At 34.6% G+C, this 20,787-nt stretch overlaps 1 protein-coding gene across 17 annotated transcripts in view; it reads right to left on the bottom strand.

The window, feature by feature from the left end:
• The window catches only part of MLIP (muscular LMNA interacting protein), a 247,311-nt gene that overhangs the window by 13,633 nt on the left and 212,891 nt on the right, over positions 1-20,787 (bottom strand). The window lies entirely within an intron of this gene.

The following is a 20,787-nucleotide window of genomic DNA, read 5'->3' as shown; positions in this document are numbered from 1 at the left end:
CCACTCCTATGAGGAGGCCAGAGGTCAGAGGTTACCTATTATCATGATTATGTACATAATCATGATTATATACATATCATGATAATATGTTATAGGTTATATTTATTATCATTATCTATATTATATATTATATGTTATAATATATTATATTTATATTATGTTATAATATATTATATTTATATTATATGTTATAATATACTATAGTTATATTATATATTATATGTTATAATATACTATAGTTATATTATATATTATATGTTATAATATATTATAGTTATATAGTATATGGTATATTATAGTTATATTATATATTATATGGTATAATATATTATAGTTATATTATATATTATATGGTATAATATATTATAGTTATATTATATATTATATGTTATAATATATTATACTTATATATTATATGTTATAATATAGTTATATATTATATGTTATAATATATTATAGTTATATATTATGTTATAATATAGTTATATATTATATGTTATATTATAGTTATATATTATATGTTATAATATAGTTATATATTATATGTTATAATATATATTTATATTATATATTATATGTTATAATATATATATTTATATTATATATTATATGTTATAATATATATATTTATATTATATATTATGTTATAATATATATATTTATATTATATATTATGTTATAATATATATATTTATATTATATATTATATGTTATAATATATATTTATATTATATATTATATGTTATAATATATATTTATATTATATATTATATGTTATAATATATATTTATATTATATATTATATGTTATAATATATATATTTATATTATCTGTTATAATATATATATTTATATTATATATTATATGTTATAATATATATTTATATTATATATTATATGCTATTATATATATTTATATCATATGTTATAATATATATGTATCATATGTTATAATATATATTTATATTATATGTTATAATATATATTTATATTATATATTATATGTTATAATATATATATTTGTATTATATATTATATGTTATAATATATATATTTGTATTATATATTATATGCTATAATATATATTTATATTACTATATATACTATATATTATATATACTGTGTTTGTACCTATATATTCCTGATTATATAATTATTATCTGTCTCATATGGAGAGACAGATATATATATATATATATATATATATGGCTTGTTTCATTCACTTTGGAGATATGCCTAGCCCAATAAAGTATTTGTGTTTTTAATCCCTGATTTACAACATATCACAATGTGCTAGAGGAACCCAGGAAATCTTGTAAATTTCAGATTCTGGCAGGGTAGTTGTGGAGAGGGGCCTGAGATTCTGCATTTATGACAGGCTGTCAGCTGGTGCTGATGCTACCACAGGTTGAATAGTAAAGTCATTGCCAATATCTTTGTATAAATTGATGAAATGAATTTGTTTCAAATATTTATCTATTCCAACTAAAATTAACTATACTCAAAATGTCCTAATCAATTCAGATACACTGGAGTTGTATAGTTAGATCATTTACCACATATTTGATTATTAAGTACCTGCTAATAGGTCAGGCACTTGGCTAGATGTTAAGGATATAACAATCAGTGAACAGACGTTGTCACCTGCCTTGAAGACTACAGTCTAGCAGGAGAGACAGATAGTAATTATATAATCAGGAATATATAAGTCCAAACACAAAATAATGTGTTAGGAAGTAAAAGTATTGAGTCTTATCAGGGTTCATAATAGATGAATCTAACCTAAACTAAAAGGATGAAGGCATATTTTTCCCAGAGGCTGAAATTTCAGGGATGCTACCTCATAGGAATAAGAAGCATGATGAGTGAATATGGAATTAGTCCCTGAGAAGAAATTACTCACAATTGGGCTGGTTGAAAAATAGGGAGAAAATTCAGGTGGATGGGTAAAATGAGTGAGAGAGATGTCAGAAACTGAGGACAGAGAATTACTATGAGGAATTTGTATGCATCAACTTCACTTCAGTGTCATCTGTAAGCCCTTGAAAGTGCTTATTAAATGAATGAACACTGTTAAATATGAGTTTTCCTGCAAAGGACATGATCTCATTCCTTTTTATGACTGTGTAGTATTCCATGGTGTATCTGTACCACATTTTCTTCATCCAGTCTATCATTGATGGGCATTTGGGTTAATTCCATGTCTTTGCTATTGTGAATAGTGCTGCAGTGATCATACACATGCATGTGTCTTTATAATAGAATGATTTATATTCCTTTGGGTAAATACCCAGTAATAAGGTTACTGGGTCAAAAGATATTTGTGTCTCTAGGTCTTTGAGGAATTTCCACACTGTCTTCCACATGGTCGAACTAATTTGCACTCCCACCAACAGTGTATAAGTGTTTCTTTTTCTCCATGACCTCGCCAGCATCTGTTATTTTTTGACTTTTTAATAATACCCATTCTGACTGGTATGAGATGGTATCTCATTGTGGTTTTGATTTGCATTTCTCTAATGATCAGTGATGCTGGGCTTTTTATCATGTGATTGTTGGACGCATCATCCTTAGTGAAATAACACAGGAACAGACAACCAAATACTGCATGTTCTCACTTGTAAGTGGGAGCTAAATGATGAGAGCACATGGACACATAAAAGGGAACAGACACTGGGGCCTGTCAGAGGGTGGAGGGTGGGAGGATGAAGACAGTCAGGAAAAACAACTAATGAATACTAGGCTTAATACCTGGCTAAGGAAATAATCTGTATGACAAATCCCCTTAACGTACATTTACCTATGTAACAAACCTGCAAATGGACCCCCAAACTTAAAATAAAAGTAAATAAACATATATATACACACACGTGTATACATGTGTATATATATGTGTGTGTGTATATATATATATGTGTGTGTGTGTGTGTGTGTGTGTTCCTCATTTCCCCAAAGACATTTCCCCAAAAGACTGCAAGCTGCTTGAGAATAGGTCTCATCATATCCTAGCAGTTGTGCACCAAACACTAGTTGATTGGTTTTACTGCTCACAATTCTATACCCTGGAATAAAACATAGGCAATGCTCTGAGTTTTTTCTTTATTGAGGTCTGTGGATAATACATGCTATGTGGAAAAAGCTCCTCTCGATAGAAATATGCCTCTCATATCAAAAAAAAAGAATTAGCTATATGTCTTAAAGATTTAATCTGTATTAGGCCAAATATCAAAAATATATTACAACATTTATTAATATTTATTTTTAGGATTTAAATATTTATTTTTAGAATTCAAAAGTAGAGCATATATTTGTGGTAATGCCCAAAGGTTCCCAAGTTTGTCTATCTAATTAATTCCCTTTGTGACCTGGGGAAAATCACTTTGTGTCTGGGCTTTAGGTTTTCATCTTTAAAGTCTGGGCCCTAAATAGATGAGTTTCAGTTCCTCTTTTACTTGGATAATTCATTGGTTCCATGATGCTTAAGCAAAAAAATCTATTGATTGATAACTGATGCTACCTCAGAAATAAAGGTCTTCTTTATGGCATCTCCTGCACTGAGCCATAGCTGAGGTAGAAGTTATGCTGATGGGGATGGTAAAATGAACTCCCCAATCTTAACTGGAATCCTTAATATCGGTTCTTAGTTCTGCTTATTTATTCCTTGTATGAACTGTTACAAACTATTAAGTTTCACTACATTCTTTTGTGTACTCCCTTGGTTATTATATATTCACTTGATAATACATGTTGGTTGGTATATTCTGTTGAAATGCATGTTAATTGTTTCGTAAGCCCACCAAACACTCACTACTGAATATTGGTCATTAATATTGTTATATTGGAGTCTCAATTCTAAGAATACTAATAAGAAAACATAGGAATTTTCTGTCCTGATCTTTGTAATAGATCTGAAATATGACGGAAAACTCCTAAATTATGCTATTTTTATTCTTGGCCTTTCCTCTTCCATCCCAAGAGATAAAGACTTAAGGCATGTTAGAATTTCTTCTTCCAAAGACCACCTTCTAGACATCAGTGTAAGGGAATTTTTGTCTGCTCATTATTGTATGTCCAGCCTATTTAAAAACAAATACCACATCCTATTGTTGACTTACATTTTTCATCTAGAGTTGTTTCTTTCTCAACTAGAAAACCACTTCCCTAAGGGGATTAACTACACCATTCACTTTTTTCAGTGCACAGCTCCCAGGTTATAATGAAAACAGAGTAAAACATGTATTCTAACACCATTTCAGTTCTCAAAACAAATTCCAGAAGTTGAAATTGGAATTGACAAGGAAGCATATTTGTTGTTCTTTTTGTCTATCCTTTAAGAGAACACTTCATTACTTAGTACTACAGGCAAAACATCATTTTCAATTGTTTTCAATATCATACCAGTCTAGTACAATCATAAATCAAATGTCTATTTCTTCACAAAATAAAATATTGGTGGAATATTTTTCTCTCTCTGTTTTTTATCTTCTATAGATTATAAGGAATATTGTACCTCTTATTCCAGTGTGACATAAAATAGAATATAAACAGCTGTGTATTAATATTCCCGAGTTCCATAAATGTTTTTGGAATCCTGCCCCTGCGTTAATCCCATCCAAGGTCTTCCTAATTTGCCACCAGTTACCTCTAAGTTGCAGGAAATCTATCCCAGATCCCAGGTGTAATATCAACAGATGTCAATTGATGTGTTGCAAGGATTTGGAAGAGTATTTAAGAAAATAAATAGGTATGACTGTGATAGGGTCAAGCCATCCCCTCTCACCTTAGACCCCGTACCAGATCCCATTCCACTCTCCTCTAGCAGTACACCCCCAAGAGCATCACTAAGGATGTGGGGGCCAAGAGTTGGTTGAGGAGGGAGAGGGTATGTGGTTGGTTGGCAGGCAGATGAGCTAAGGACTGTATGTCTATAGGTAACAGAAGGGCTTCTTTCTATATGGTGCCTGCCAGACCCATCTTCCTGGCATTGGGCCACATTCCTCCATTCCCACACCTTCCTATGCATTATTTCAAACTACACTTCAAAGTTGTGTAAGCTTTTTCTGACCCTTTTACCATCTCCTTTATGTTTAATGCCTTTAAACTGTCAGTACACCCAGTGTTTTCCTTCCACCTCCGCTTCTTGCCCTACATGGTCTGACTATATGGTCCTGTCAGGCACTCTAACTTGGTCTTAGATTGTGGCCATTCCTGAGCCAACTGATGGAGTCTAAAATCTTCCTTCTGGAGAATCTGTCTTCTTTTACTTCCAGCTATGTTCTTGCTAGAACCACAAACTAACAGCTATGATGGTTTTTTATTCAAACTTCAAAGGATAAAATAAATGAGGTATTTACTGATCGCTAAGAAGCCCTTAAAGAAAACTCTCCACTGTCAGTCAGTTTCAGCCATCCCAGAGTGAGATCTTTTGAGAATGAGAAGAAAAATGTTCATAGTACTGCCAAATTTGCCTACGATATCACCTGGGATTTTATAAACTGTTAAAAGTTCATTCAAATATGGGATGATTAAAATATATTCTCAGGCATTCAAGGCCTTGGAATATTTGCTAAATAAAAACCTGTCTTAAAAACTTTCTTGGGTCAAGGACTTAAATAAAAAGAGAAAGACATACAGGAGGATGCTACAGGAAATATGGGAAGAAAGGGTAATAAAGCAATCTGATTAAGTGTGTTGCTGCCGTAAAAATAAAACAGAACAAACCATGAATTACTATGAAAAAGAGAGAAACTATAACCATAATATGTCAGAAATAAACACCTAGAATTGAACACTATCTATGTGATGGGAGGCAATGGAAGGGACCAAATGGACTTGTCTTACTAGAAGAAGATACAGATATCAATACAAGGATATAAATACGAATACAGACCTTAAGTTAAGGACCATCAACAGCAAAACAAGGTTAAATACATTTTAAACCAGTAAATTAAAACTACACCTTTCCAATAAAAAACTGAAAAGCAGAAATAACAGATAAGTTATGAAAAATGTGATAATATGGTAGAATTAAGGTTATGTAGCGAGATAATCTCAGGTATTAAGAGAAATGTCTCAAGATAAAAAAATCAAGATCAGAAAATATCTGGACAACAAGAGACATACACACAAATAAAAGTCATACAAATTTGAAAACCAAAGTAGGAAAAAGATTTGTCTCTCCAATATGAACCAAACTAAAAATAGTAATTTTATTATCTTAAAAATGGAATTCAAGAAGAAATGCTATAAGGGACAGAAAAAAAGATATTATATACTGGTAATAAAATCAATGAACCAGAAAATATGACTATCATAAACATATATTCCTAAAAATAGAGCCTCAAAGTATTAAGATTTTCCAGTGTTGGACTTCTAATGCTTTGAAAGCAAGTCGTGGTCTTACACTTCATTTGAATGCCTTCATAAAGCTAAGAAAGTGTTTGATGTCTAATGGTGGCTAAATAAATATTTTTATAAAACCTGAGGAAGGGCCCACCCTCACAGTCATATTCTTGTTCCCCAAAAGAGATTTCCATTTGATTCACAGAACTTATGGAACATATGGCTTATATGAAGGCGAATGAGTATCATTATTTGATGGCTGTAAGTTAAATGTCTGAGTTGTGCTTTCATTAGTCACACATTGGTAAACTTCAACAAATTTAGCAATCTGAAAAAATTTTATGCTCATATTTTGGTGAAAGGAGTAAAACAGTGGTCACATTAAGCAAGATAAAGCAACATAGAAAAATTTTGCCCTGAAGTTTCAAAATAGGAGACTCCTTGGCTGTGCAAATATTACATAATTAAAATAGATTTTGTTGCATGGGATAAGTAAAAGGATCACAAAATACATTACGGCAATGAGACAACTAGGTTGAACTATATGAAACTGATAAAATTGATATTTGTGTAGGTAAAAAGCTATTGAATAATGGCAGTTTCATGTGGTGCAACCTAAAGAAACTTTTTTAAAAAAACAATAGCTTTTCAAGAAGGTTAGACAAGCAATTATGTTCAAAGGTAGACAAAATATATATTTTAAAAACTCAATTTGCAAAGATAAAATGCTTCTATCCTGGTTTTCATTACATTTCAGGGTTAATAATGCATGGCTCATAGCTGCCTCCTTCTACTGCGCATTCACTCAGCTAAGACTATTGTCCTAACCCTGAGTTACTCGACTCTCTCTCATCCTAGTGCCCACAGCCAATGGCTGACTGGTAAAGGGCATAAAAGGGTAGCTCCTTTGCATCAGGTGTGGATAACTCTGCAATTTATTCTCTAGAGCCTTCTCCCTATGAATTAAGTCAAGGCTGGCCTTGAACTGAAGTCACATTTGCTCAGCTCTTTGCCCCTCTCAATTTGAATTCACTCCCTTCTTTACAGGAAGCTTTTCTGAAGAACCCTCCCTCAATAAATCACCAATATCTGAACCGCTGTCTCAGGATCTGCTTTTAAGGAACCTGATTTAACATATCACACGAAGGAGAAGGGACAGGTGGCTGATGTGTGTGGTGAAATAGAGAGTTCATTATCCCTTAGTGTCTCCATCAGAACAAGGTGCAAATGGATGGCAGTTTATTTTCTCTCTGTCCATAAAATACAAGCATAGTCAGTAAATTCCAAAGGCCAGCATGTTATTTTACAAGAGCTTTAAAAATCATGTTTCTCAAAGTATAAAACTGTTATCCTGCCTACCTGCAGCCATACATCTCTTTCCAATTACCAAATTCCTAATTTCTTGAATGATTTTATTTAAAAATGTTACAATGAAAAATTCCAGCTAGATACTATATGTCCAATGGCAGACAACACATGAGCTTGGGGCAGGTGTTCTTGCTACTAAGATTAAGCCAAAAAGAGAAATAAGAAAAAGAAATTGATTGTTCTCAGTTTCCTGGAAAAAATTTAAAAGCCAACTGTTTTATGATTAATTAAGTACACTTTAAGACTGGTAATTAGATAAACAGAAGCATGCCCAGTTTCAAATTCCAGCCTGTCATTAAGGCATGTATTCTGTTGAAATGCTCTTTTTGCCCTCTAGTGGAGAACCTAGCTAAAAATGATTGATAATTCATTTTGCAAAACCACTTCTCTTAAAATATCTGCTCATTGACATTCATTTTTTAATGTTAAAAGTCAAATTAATTTGCATTTAGTCATTTTGAACAGAAGCTTCTTTGTGAATGAATTAAACACATTCATTCGTTTTGAAAACAATTTGGCATCGTCAAATAGTGTACATGTTTTGACTTCCTGAAAAATCTTAAAACATTTTTAAAAACCCATTTTATATTTGATAAAGTCTTTTTTCCAATTCCAACAATCTCAAATATTTTATATTTTAATCATCTCGATAGCTATCTAATCTCCATTATCTTTAAAAACTTGTCAGAAAAGTTTTAGAATTGAGAGTAAAGCTGTTTATTTCTATGATGATTGAAAATAAATTACCTGGTTTATTCACACGGATTTCTAATCATACATAAAGTTAGAACATAAACATTATTAATGAAGAGGTTTGAGGGATGTTTTTGCCTCCAAAATTCAAGATGACTTTTTTCAATAAATGTGGCTACCTCAGTACAATTTTGTCAGAGTACTAGATGTTTAGTGGTTCTGTTAGCCACTAACCTTTGCAAAGTGGAAAGTTCTGCCAAAAGAATGTTGGTGCCTGGAGATGAAATGTGAAAAGTATTGTGGAATTCATAAGCCCAGGCTCTGCCAGTAACTCATGCCATGGCCTTGGGTATGTCACTTTGCATCTTTGGGCTTCAGTTTTCTTATCTGTAGACTGAAGGAAGTCAGATGGCCTCAGCAATTAGTTCTAGACCTGATTTACATATATGGTGCTGGGTTTGACCAAACGGAAGCCTGTGCGTGATTCCCGGGTGGTGGTGATGGTGAAAGTGGTAATGCCACTTTATTGATAGACGTTAGGGAGATATCTCAAAGAAAATTAATCAAGCATCAGCTTTTAAGCTGTTCTGCAAAATTTTGTACAAATTATATATACTTTCTGAGCCTCAGTTTCTTCATATGTAAAAGAAAAAATAAACCCTACTTTATGATTGTTTTAAAATCTAAATAAAATGCTGCATGTGAAGTAAGTGGAATGTTGTCTACTTTTTCTAAATATGTTCCTTATAAAATTTCAGTGACTTCTCAACTCACTCCCTGCTTTTTCCCCCCAGTTCAGATAACTCATTATGTTCAGGAAGGTGGAAGCTATCTAGTAATCTTAATTGATGCTAACTTCACATTATAGTTTCTGATTCCAGTTGCTTCTTCAATGCTCTGGCCTGCTTTCGTTTTCTCAAGTTTGCTCTGTTCCTTTTCTGTATGTCTATGCTTGCTGCCCCCTCTAGCTGGAATGCCCAGTCCACTCCCAGCCTTCACTTCTTTTCAGGCCTCAGATTCAACACCATTTTCTCATTAAGTCTTTCCTGATTCATCAGACTGGATCAGGACCTCTGGTATATATACTCATACCTGCCCAAATGTCTTTTGCATGGCAGTTGTGACAGTTATCACTAAGTATTGAATTTTTTTCTTCTTTAATTTCTGTTTTCCCTATGTAGAAAATAAGGACTTGGAAAAGGCCCCCATGTCTCTGTCTGCTGGCTTTCCAGTGCATGGCCAGCACAAACACAGTGCTTTGCACCTAACAGATATTCAATACATCTTTAGGAAATGAATAAATGTGTTTTGTCAACTTCCAGACTCCTGAGTTCCTAGACTTTATGTTGGAACAAAAAGGTTGCAAAGTCTATGCTTTTTGTTTTTAGTAAGAAATTAGTCAAGGTTTTGGTAACCTTGAACCAAATCACTTAATGTTCATTTTTCTAATTTTGAAGCTATGTACAATTGTAGACTGCTTATCTCAAAGAGCTGTTCCTTTATTCTTAACATATACTCATAAAAGATTTTTCACATCTTTAGATTTAAATATTTACAGCATATATTAGAAAAATAAATTGTTATTTCAAAGCCCTCTCAGCCTTTGAAGCAGTAGGGGAAGGTTAGAATTACTTCTGATTTTCCTTTCTCCAGATAAGTCATAATCTCTATTAACTCTTGTTGATTGATCTTTGTTAAAATATCAGAAGAAACCTCTGGCAAAAAATATTTCAGAGGAGCTACCAAAAAAAATCAACCCATGCTTGAATATATGACTATAATATTAATATTTTAGTTTTTATTGGATTTCTGCAGATTTACAAGGTCAATTCTCTGAGTAGCAATGCAATGATAATACCAATTTACATGCTCTCAATAACGTTACCAATATAAACGTTACACACGTACTAAATTTGAAAATAAATAAGTAGAAGAAGAAATGAACAAGGAAAGTCAACCTTCAATGTTTACAGGGTGAAATATCCAAGGAGTTTAAGAAAAGAATGCTCATGGCCTAAGAAGCAGGCTAAAGCCAGCTTGTGAAGGGGCCTCTCCCACCTACCCACTCTGGACATGAAAGTTTCTTTCCTTTCTCTGTCCTCCTATGTCATTCACACAACATCAGACCGCCATGAAAACTCACCAGAGGTTCCAGACTAGGTATGCCAACCCCTAATCCTCTATGATGGGGAAACAAAAGGAGTTAGCTCTCTATTGCTATTGTTTTTCATTTCTCCTATTTCCTATATGTGTATTTCTCATTCAGAATACATTTTGCTAGGTAGGCTCCCTCACTATTCTAATAGATGATTCTCCCTTGCCTTATTATAAGTGGAGTGATTCTTTACATAGAGAAGACAGAAATAACGCAAATAATTGAACTGAAAATACATCTATTTGCTCACTCTCATCCCCCTTTTTCATTTCAGACAAGTTATATTCCTTCTTTATTCTTAATCTACAATCTCAAGAGCAGCTGCTTAGAAAAAAGGCTAAGAAAAAAGATCAGTAAATATTGTGTTGACATATCATAAAGGTAAAATGTATTATAAGTAAATGCTTCATCTTTTTTAGCAAAAACATAGTTCTAATATAAATAATTGCTATAATTTAAAATATCTTTATGAAAAGGGCACTTTAATTTTTTAAAAAAGGAAATCATAAGAAAGTACATGTTGGTGGCTATGGTATTTTTTCAATGAGAAAGGACTTTTAATAGCTGAAGTAGCATACCAGAAAAAGTTATACACCTTCTGATTCAGTAAGTCTATGAATACTGAATGTGTAAACACTCAGGCCCAATTGTAAACATTACAAGCACATGGGGACAATTTTGATTAACAGCTAAACCCAATATTTCATAACTTATTCTAATAAAAAAATCCTAAGCTAATATACTAGATAGGTTACAGTATATACTATATTATAGTATATATACATACACTCTCTCCATATATATTTAATTTAACAGTTGTGTTTCCTTTTACTTACTAGGAGTTATATGAGGAAAAAATAATTATAATCTAGTACTTATAAACATGCCAATATAATTTTTCTTTTAAAGTTTTTCATAAGAAAGTTCATTTTCTTGCTGAATCATTAGAGAATTTAAAAGGCAAAAAAAAAGAAACGTCTGTTATTACAGGGGAAGCATAGTGTTTTCTATGAGGTAAAAACTTTGAGGTCGCCCGGTTCTTGGGATTTCTAAATTTTTTAAGTTGTAAGTAGGCTTAGGAATCTGCTTTTTTCTTTTGATTTTTTTTTATTTTTTGAGACGGAGTCTCACTCTGTCGCCAGGCTGGAGTGCAGTGGCGCGATTTGGGCTCACTGCAACCTCCACCTCCTGGGTTCAAGCGATTCTCCCGCCTCAGCCTCTCGAGTAGCTGGGACTACAGGTGCGTGCCACCACGCCCAGCTCATTTTTTCTATTTTTAGTAGAGATGGGGTTTCACCATGTTGGCCAGGATGGTCTGGAACTCCAGACCTCGTGATCCGCCTGCCTCAGCCTCCCAAAGTGCTGGGATTACAGGCGTGAGCCACGGTGCCCGGCCAGGAATCTGCACTTTTCTAAAGCTCCCCAGATAATTCTGAAGCAAACAGCCCAATCTGAGTCCTAAAGTTAGGGTTTTGAAACCGAACTAAATGTCCTACTATTACAGCTGAAGAGACAGAAACCCGCAGGAAGAGAGTGAAATGTGTGGCACAATAACATTTACGTAAATTATGTCATATGCACACAAAATAACACTGCAACTTTTGAAAGAAAATGCACAAACATACACATCACATAGTTTAGAATATTTCTCTGGGGGCAGAAAGGAAAGAAGAGTGACAAATGGGAATTAAAGGAAATACATATGTGAATAAATCAGAAAGCAATAGAAAAATAGGCCGTAATAAAAGTAAAAAGGTATTTAAGATGAGAGTAATGGCCTAGGAGTTATACTGATGGATTGTTTCTTCACTCCAGCACCAAAATTCTATTATAGTAGCTAGATGCTAAAAAATGTATAAAGCTGAATACTGAAGTTGGAATGTGACAGTTTTACTTTCATATATCACTTGATCCTGGTAACAATTCTATAATAGTGATTCTATTTCGTTGTTGTTGTTGTTTGTCACTTCACAGGTAAGAAAGTTAAAGCAAGAGTTTGAATTACTTTTTCAAGTATAGGCATACAACAATTCATTGATTCTGCAAAATAAATACAGCAACTGATGCCTCATTACAAATAGACTCTGCAGACGAATTTTAACTTGCATTTCACTATAAGTAGAGTGACTTTATGCTTACTGATTAAACAGGATACTTCTGATAAACAGAGGGGCACTAAAAATATTGAAATCATATAATTTTAAAAATATTTATTGACTGGAAGGGTTTATTATAGTGGTAGACATAAATATTTATTTTCAAAACACTTTATTTTATTTTATTTTATTTTTTATTTTTTATTTTTAGACAGAATCTTGCTCTGTCACCCAGACTGGAGTGCAGTAGTGCAATCCTGCCTCACTGCAACCTCCACCTCCTGGGTTCAAGTGATTCTCCTGCCTCAGCCTCCCTAGTAGCTGGGACTACAGGCATGTGTCACCATGCCCAGCTAATTTTTTTTTTTTTTGTATTTTTAGTAGAGATGGGGTTTCACCACGTTGGATGTTGGTCAGGCTGGTCTTGAACTCCTGACCTCAAATGATCGGCATACCTCAGCCTCCCAAAGTGCTAGGATTACAGGCATGAGCCACCACACCCAGCCTCAAAACTATTTAAAAAATAAAATTCTTCAAAAAATAGAACAAAACATTGTATACATATATAATGTTTCTATTCATATATGTGTATGTGTGTGTGTATATATATATTATATATATATATATTATATATATATGTTTAAATGGCCCAGACTGATCAGAACACATGATCATCTACATAGGAGTATACATTTTCCTGTCTATGTGAGAGATCTTAAAGGTCATGCCCTGACCTTGAGCAATGACAACAGCCTGGGGTCTGCGAGTGAGAGTGTTCAGGCTATGAGGGGTTCTGGGCAAGACGAATGGAGAGGTAGGAGATGAATAGTCTGCTCTGGCTATGAAGTGAAAGCTATAGTGGTAGAGATTTTTTAAGAGACTACTCCAGATATAAATACTGAAATATGCAAATGGAAAGGCTAGAGAAATCTAGAACTAGCCCTTGCATAAAAACTTACAATAGGATTTAACAGCAGTGGAAGAAAGGGGAGAATCCATAGTACATGTGAAGAAATCTGCCATACTTATTTACCTCTTTCATGAGACAGAAGCAGACTTGAAATAAAATAGTGTATGGTTACAAACAACACACAAAGATCATGCATTTTTAGAAAACTAAAAGTGAAATAAAATGGCTCCACTGTCACAAACTTGGCATGAAATAATTTTTTTTTAAATGAAAGAAAAAATATCCTCAAGGATGGCTGTGAATTTTCTCCTGGGGCTTTAAAGCTGTCTCTCTGCCTATAAAGATCCTATTTTTGCTTGTAAAACCTCTCAAGTTTTCACTGTAAATAGAGCCTTCTTGCTTAGGAAATCTCAGCCTTGCTTCTGCCAACAGATCAGAAAAGTCATCCTGACTGTGAAGGCTTAGTCCTCACTCCTCTAGTTTCTATTCACAGACTGGCCATGTGTTTCTCGTTTGTTTGCTGGTGCAAACTTGGCAGAGTAGAGACTCAAGGGAGAAAACAATAAGTGATAACTTCCTGTCTACATGGCTTGTAGTTATGCTAAATAAAAGGGAGAAAATGTAGTTGGAATAAGAAGAGAACAAAGTGCATAAAACTGAGTAATTAAGTGGGAATACTGAAAGTAGGCCAGAAGAATTGGAATTTTAGGGTGACTTAAAAAGAGAGGTTTACCTTGGAAATTATGAGAGTAGAAGATAGAAGAAATGAGAAGGGGTGAATGGAGGAAAGAAGAAAAGTTATGGACAGTGATAAGCTTAGATACTTTATGTGTGTGTTAGTTTTCTCACCTTAGGGCCAGGTAAGTAAGCTGAGACACATGTGCCACATACTTATGGTGCCTAGGAAGAATATTATTTTTCTAAATGAGCTGAATTTTTAAAAATAGAAAATGGACTCCAGTAGGCCTTAATCTAGACATAAACAGGTGTGTTGTACATGGTACTTTGCTACCTTCAAAGATAAAAAAATAATTTAAATGCATTGTAAAATGGGGGAAAAATGGACAAAATGACTATAGTAGATTAGATACAATTTTAAAATATTAACCCACACACACAGACACATCTTTCTTCTGTACCCTTTCTTGTTTCAGCAATATACATAGTCCAAAGCATAATATATCAAAAATAAAGAAAATATCCTGAAGACTTTTATTTTGTTTTTGTTTGCTTTTGTGACAGGGTCTCACTTTGTTGCACAGCCGAGAATGCAGTGACACAATCACGGTTCAGTGCAGCCTTGACTTCCTGGGCTCAAACAATCCTCCCACCTCAGCCTCCTGAGTAGCTGGGACCACAGGTGCACGAAACCATGCCCAGCTAATTTTTTTTTTTTTTTTTTTTTTAGAGACAGTCTCCCTATGTCGTCCAGGCTGGTCTCTGGCTCCTGGGCTTAAGCAATCCTCCCACCTTGGCTTCTCAAAGTGTTGGGATTACAGGCATGAGCCACCTTAAGTTTTAACAGCCAAAGTTTTGATCTGCAGGAGCCTGGACTTCAAAATTAGATCATAAACATAAAATTTCATGAATATATATGTATATATGTTTGTACAGATACATACAATATAAGTCATTGAGCCACATATACCTTCTCAGTCCTTAACGTTTAAGCAGCAACCATCCTCTGAACTTCAAACTACCTGTTTCTACTTTTCTTTGCCTCAGGGCTCTTTCTGGGGATTGATGCTGCCCCACCCCCTCTCCTCAACTAATGACTGCCAGAATTTCCCTCCTCCACCCCTCAGAAAGCAGGGCTCTGAGCTGTGTGTCCCTACAGCAGCTCCCAGAGTTCCCCAGCCATATGAAGCTCCAGTTCCCCACAGTGGTCATCTGCTTGCTCACACACCCTTTACCAGATGCCTCTCCTCCTTGTCTCAGTCCCCACTCCCCTAACAGGCATTTCCTGGAACCACCTCCCAAAATAACTACTCATAAGTGACGGTCTTCTCAGAGAAAACCAAACAAAGGTACAATCACCCTCATTATTGATTATTCACAGCAGTTATGTCCTTAAAGCCTCCATGAGCATGGAATTCGTGAATACTAAACCATTTCTCCTGGGGAAAACCTGGATTAGGTTATTGCAAGTCTCTGGTTACATTTTCATCAACCAATCAATAAATAACCTGTTTTATGGTTGTTTACTGTTTAAAGACACATATTTAATATATTATTAATTCATTAGCACCAAACTCATGGCCAACAGCACTATAACTCAAGCATAAGAGTAGCTTACCTAACATACTTATTTTCTCTTTTAAGACACATCATAGCCTTCTTGAGCATAGGAACATTAGAAAGCCCTTCAACACTATGCTTAGGGGCCATTTTAAACAGCAAAATTACCAACAAAACACACAGAGATGCAAACAAAAACATGATACCAGAGAGAATGCAAAAAGGACAATTTTTTTTTTTCTTTTAGACTGAGTTTCGCTCTTATTGCCCAGGCTGGAGTATAATGGAGTGATCTCGGCTCACTGCAACCTCCGCCTCCGGGGTTCAAGCAATTCTCCTGCCTCAGCCTCTTGAGTAGCTGGGATTACAGGTGTGCCACACCACACCTGGCTAATCTTTTGTATTTTTAGTAGAGACGTGGTTTCACCATGTTGGCCAGGCTGGTCTCCAACTCCTGACCTCAGGTGATCCAGCCGCCTTGGCCTCCCAAAGTGCTGGGATTACAGGCGTGAGCCACCGCACCTGGCTTTTAAAAAGGACAATTGTTTACAGCATGACAGCAAGAAAGCAGGGCATTGCCTTGTTCAACCTGAGCTGGGAACATAGAGGATTCGAATTTCTCCCTGTTCTGTGAATGTCCACAAATGACTAGAAGAGCAAACACAATGAGTGCTGATTTGGGGTTACAAATAAATTTTAGTGAGTAGATGAACTCACAAATACGGATGGTTTTGGAGTTCCCTATGGCAAAGGGGACATGAACAGAACAGAGAAAGATATGTAGGGCATCCAAGAGAATGGTTCTGAGATAGCTTCACAAAGTTCACCTTGCTCCCAGCAAGCAGGTAATAATGTTCTCCCATGTAAGCTGTAGGGGCACAAAAGTAACTGACCTACAGTTGATAAGGACATGCCATGCTAGTGAAGAAAAAAGGATGTAACCATGTATTATATGGCTCATGGTTATATAACAGAAAGGAATGAGAACACCACAAGAGAAGGTCAGATGCCCCCTGCCTCCACAACCCCACCCTACCTATGTTCCCAACACACTCCATCAGATCTGTGGAAACTGGATATAGCCTTCAATAAAAGAAATATCCTCAACTGAGTGACATTATTCTAAACAAACTGGTAAATCCATAAGTTGACTCAGATTTAGTCTTTACTTGAAATAGAAATAATCATAATAATTCAAGCATCTGGGGCTCCTAGTGAAAAAGTTAGGTAGTTGTAGAAATTGTTCATCATTAATAGATCTTTACTACCTTGCCTATACAGTGGGAAATAGCATATTATGTCACACCCTAGATAAACACCAAGACAAGCACAACAAATAAATACAAGATGACCTATAATATGCATGAGATGCCTTGGCACAGGAAAAGAGTATAGAAATTGAAAGGAGAAAACAAATCATTTTGAGTACTGATGCATGGAGAAATGTCACAAAAGAGGAGGGATAATTTAACTTGGACTTAAAGTACAAGAATGGTTTGTGTAAGCAAGGAGAACATAGAAGAGTATTTTATATGGGAAAATGCATGAACAAGTAGAACAGTAAGGAATTTCCAAGGTGTGCCTAGAGGAAAATAAGAAAATCAGTTTAAGTAAAGTAAAAGAATAATAATAAAGACTAGTGTGAGAAAATATAAGAACGCATTCAACTTGGTGAATGACTCAATATAAGGACAAAGCAGAAAAAGCATAAAGCATAACAGATGAATCAAGTTTTGAGTTTGGGGACTGAGAATTGTGATTTTCATCACAGAAGTAGAAAAGCCAGTGCAGAACTAGTTTGAGACAAAATGAATGATGAGTTTGAGGTGACAACATGACATCCTAGGGGAAATGATAAGCAAGCAGCTAAAGATACGAAACTGAATCTCAGTGGAGAAGCAGAATGGGAAGTGTAGATTTGAGACTTATCAGTACTAAGATAATCACTAAGGCCTGTGAGTGGGTAAATAGCTGAAGTGAGGCAATTAGAAAGAAGAGGTAGAGGAGCAAGAAGTGTCCACAAAGAAAGCAAAGAAGGAGCAGTCGGAAAGTTAGAATGTGCATATTATCCCAAGAGCAGAGTGAGGAGAGAAATGCAAGAGGAAATGATCAACTGTGTCAGGAAATTCAGCTGAATTTGCTGACAACCAGTTTACCCTTGACAGAGCAATTTCAGTAGAGTGGTAGAGGTGAAAGTCAGAATGCTTTCAAGAACGGGCTGAAGAGTGAGTTTGCAGAAAGGGGATGGAGATAGTGGCTATTGACCACTTTGAGAGAAAGAAAATTTTGAAACTGATAGATTTGCAGCATCATCAAGGAAAAGGATCAAGTGCTCCTTTTGTATTGTTTTATTTTGTTTTTTAGGCTTCTGCATACAAAGGGGAGGAATCCAATGGAGAAGAATGGACGATTTTGGAGAGCAGTAAGAATGACAATCCCAGAAAGCTTAGTGATAATAAGATCTAACTTTTATATGTTTTTCATTATCTTCAGGCACTTTTACGCATATTCGTAAATTTTATTTTCATAATACTCTAATAAGGTAGGTACTATTATTATTCTCATTTTAAAAATGAGTAAACGGAGGCATTCAGAGGCTAAATGACTTGCCCAATATCACCATCTAAAAAGGGTTGGGTCAAGAAATAACCTCAGACAAAGGAACTAGAGGCATCATCCTCTTAACCTGCTGGGCTATCTCACTTTTAAGGATAAAAGAATTTTTGCAATCTATCCTTCTGTCAAAGGGCTAATATCCAGAATCTACAAGGAACTTAAATAAATCTACAAGAAAAAAACAAACAACCCCATCAAAAAGTGGGCAAAGGATATGAACAGAAACTTCTCAAAAGAAGACATTTATGCAGCCAACAAACATATGAAGAAAAGCTCATCATCACTGGGCATTACAGAAATGCAAATCAAAATCACAATGAGATACGATCTCATGCCAGTTAGAATGGTGATCATTAAAAAGTCAGGAAACAACAGAGGCTGGAGAAGATCTGGAGAGAGAAGAAATCTTTTACACTGTTGGTGGGAGTGTAAATTAGTTCAACAATTGTGGAAGACAGTAAGGCTATTCCTCAAGAATCTAGAACCAGAAATACCATTTGATCCAGAAATACCATTTGATCCAGCAATCCCATTACTGGGTATATACCCAAAGAATTATAAATCATTCTACTATAAAGACACATGCACACATATGTTTATTGCAGCACTATTCACAATAGCAAAGACTTGGAACCAACCCAAATGCCCATCAATGATAGACTGGATAAAGAAAATGTGGCACATATACACCATGGAATACTATACAGTCATAAAAAGGGATGAGTTCATGTCTTCTGCAGGGACATGGATGAAGCTGGAAACCATCATTCTCAGCAAACTAACACAGGAACAGAAAAACAAACTCTGCATGTTCTCACTCATAAGTGGGAGTTGAACAATGAAAACACATGGACACAGAGAGGGGAACATCACACACTGGGGCCTGTTGGGGGGTGGGGGGCTAGGAGAGGGATAGCATTAGGAGAAATACCTAATGTAGATGACGGGTTGATGGGTGCAGCAAACAACCGTGGCACATGTACACCTATGTAACAAACCGGCATGTTCTGCACATGTATCCCAGAACTTAAAGTATAATTAAAACAAAAAAAAGAAAAGAAAGTAAAAGGAATGACTTCCTTCATGAGGCTGCAAGGCAGTGAAGAAGGCAGTTGTACTGTTTTATTCCAGGATGAAAAGAAAGTACCTGAGCATCCTTATAGGATATGATGCACCCAGTTATAAAGTTCCCTCTTGAAAGTAAAAAAGTAAGGGAGGGATTAAGGTGAAGATTTAGGACATGAGGAGTTTGATTAAAACTTAGAAGAGAAGAGTGCACACTGCAGACTCAGCAGAAGAAGAATACAACCTGTTGAACACCTATTGTAGCCCAGCTGAAGAGGGACTCTAAAGACTGGTAAGACAAGTTCAGCATGGTTCTCCAGAGGGAAGGATGGGAAGATTTGAGTTTGGAGATAGGCCAGTAGGCAAAGCTGTAAGGTCAGACTTGGGAATCATGTTAGCGTATTGAAGAAAAGTTAATTAAATAACAGATTATGTCTTGCAATTAAAGGCATTAAGTTATTTCAAGTAAAAAGAAAAAGTCCTGATAAATTAGTATGCTATTAACCCAATATCTAACAAACAATGTTTGTAAACATAGACATCAAATTGGTAATTCATGTACTTTAATAAGGCAATACAGATTCAAGACTAAGCAAGTGAACATTCCATTAAAAATGTTGTATTACTATCTTATTATTATTACTATTATTATTTTGGTTATGAATGGTTCTTTATTCAGTATCAACAAATCTCACACTCAGAAAGACAAAATCTATTATGAGGATTATGTGGACTGAAAATAGTTGTCTGATTTCACACAGCTTTTGTTCTTCTCAGCCTAACCAAACAAAGACTGACATATGGATGAAATATAGTCTATCCTTGCTGAACAGTTCCAGAAAACACTTTCAAAATATCAAAACAATGAGCTATATCATGTAACGGATATCTGTAAATTAAATCATAACCTTATCATATAGATGACAATTTATAAGAAAATGGTAATAGTATTATCAGAATTATTAACTCAAATAACTAAATGTATTTCATGGCTGTTGGCAAATATTAAATCAGAAAGAATTTCAAATAATATAAAATAATTTTTAAAATATTATATTTTCTCTCATATACTTATTTTCTAGACCAAGAATGGGACACAAACAAAGGTCAGAAAAATGTCATATTGAATGTTGCCCAAAAACATTTTTTGGCAAAAAACTGATATTTTAAAATTTGTTTAATCAAAATTGATCATTCAGTTGTCATAGAAGCTATTAAATATAAAAATCTAATTTTTCCTTATATAACAGTGTTATAGTTTTTGCTTTTAGATGACTGTTTGCATTTAGACAGGGTTTATTGACA

The sequence above is a fragment of the Homo sapiens genome, chromosome 6 (genome assembly GCF_000001405.40).
Source record: "Homo sapiens chromosome 6, GRCh38.p14 Primary Assembly".
Classification (NCBI taxonomy): Eukaryota; Metazoa; Chordata; class Mammalia; order Primates; family Hominidae; genus Homo; species Homo sapiens.
The sequence above is the reverse complement of the archived record's forward strand: the minus strand, read 5'-3'. Positions and strand labels throughout refer to the sequence as shown.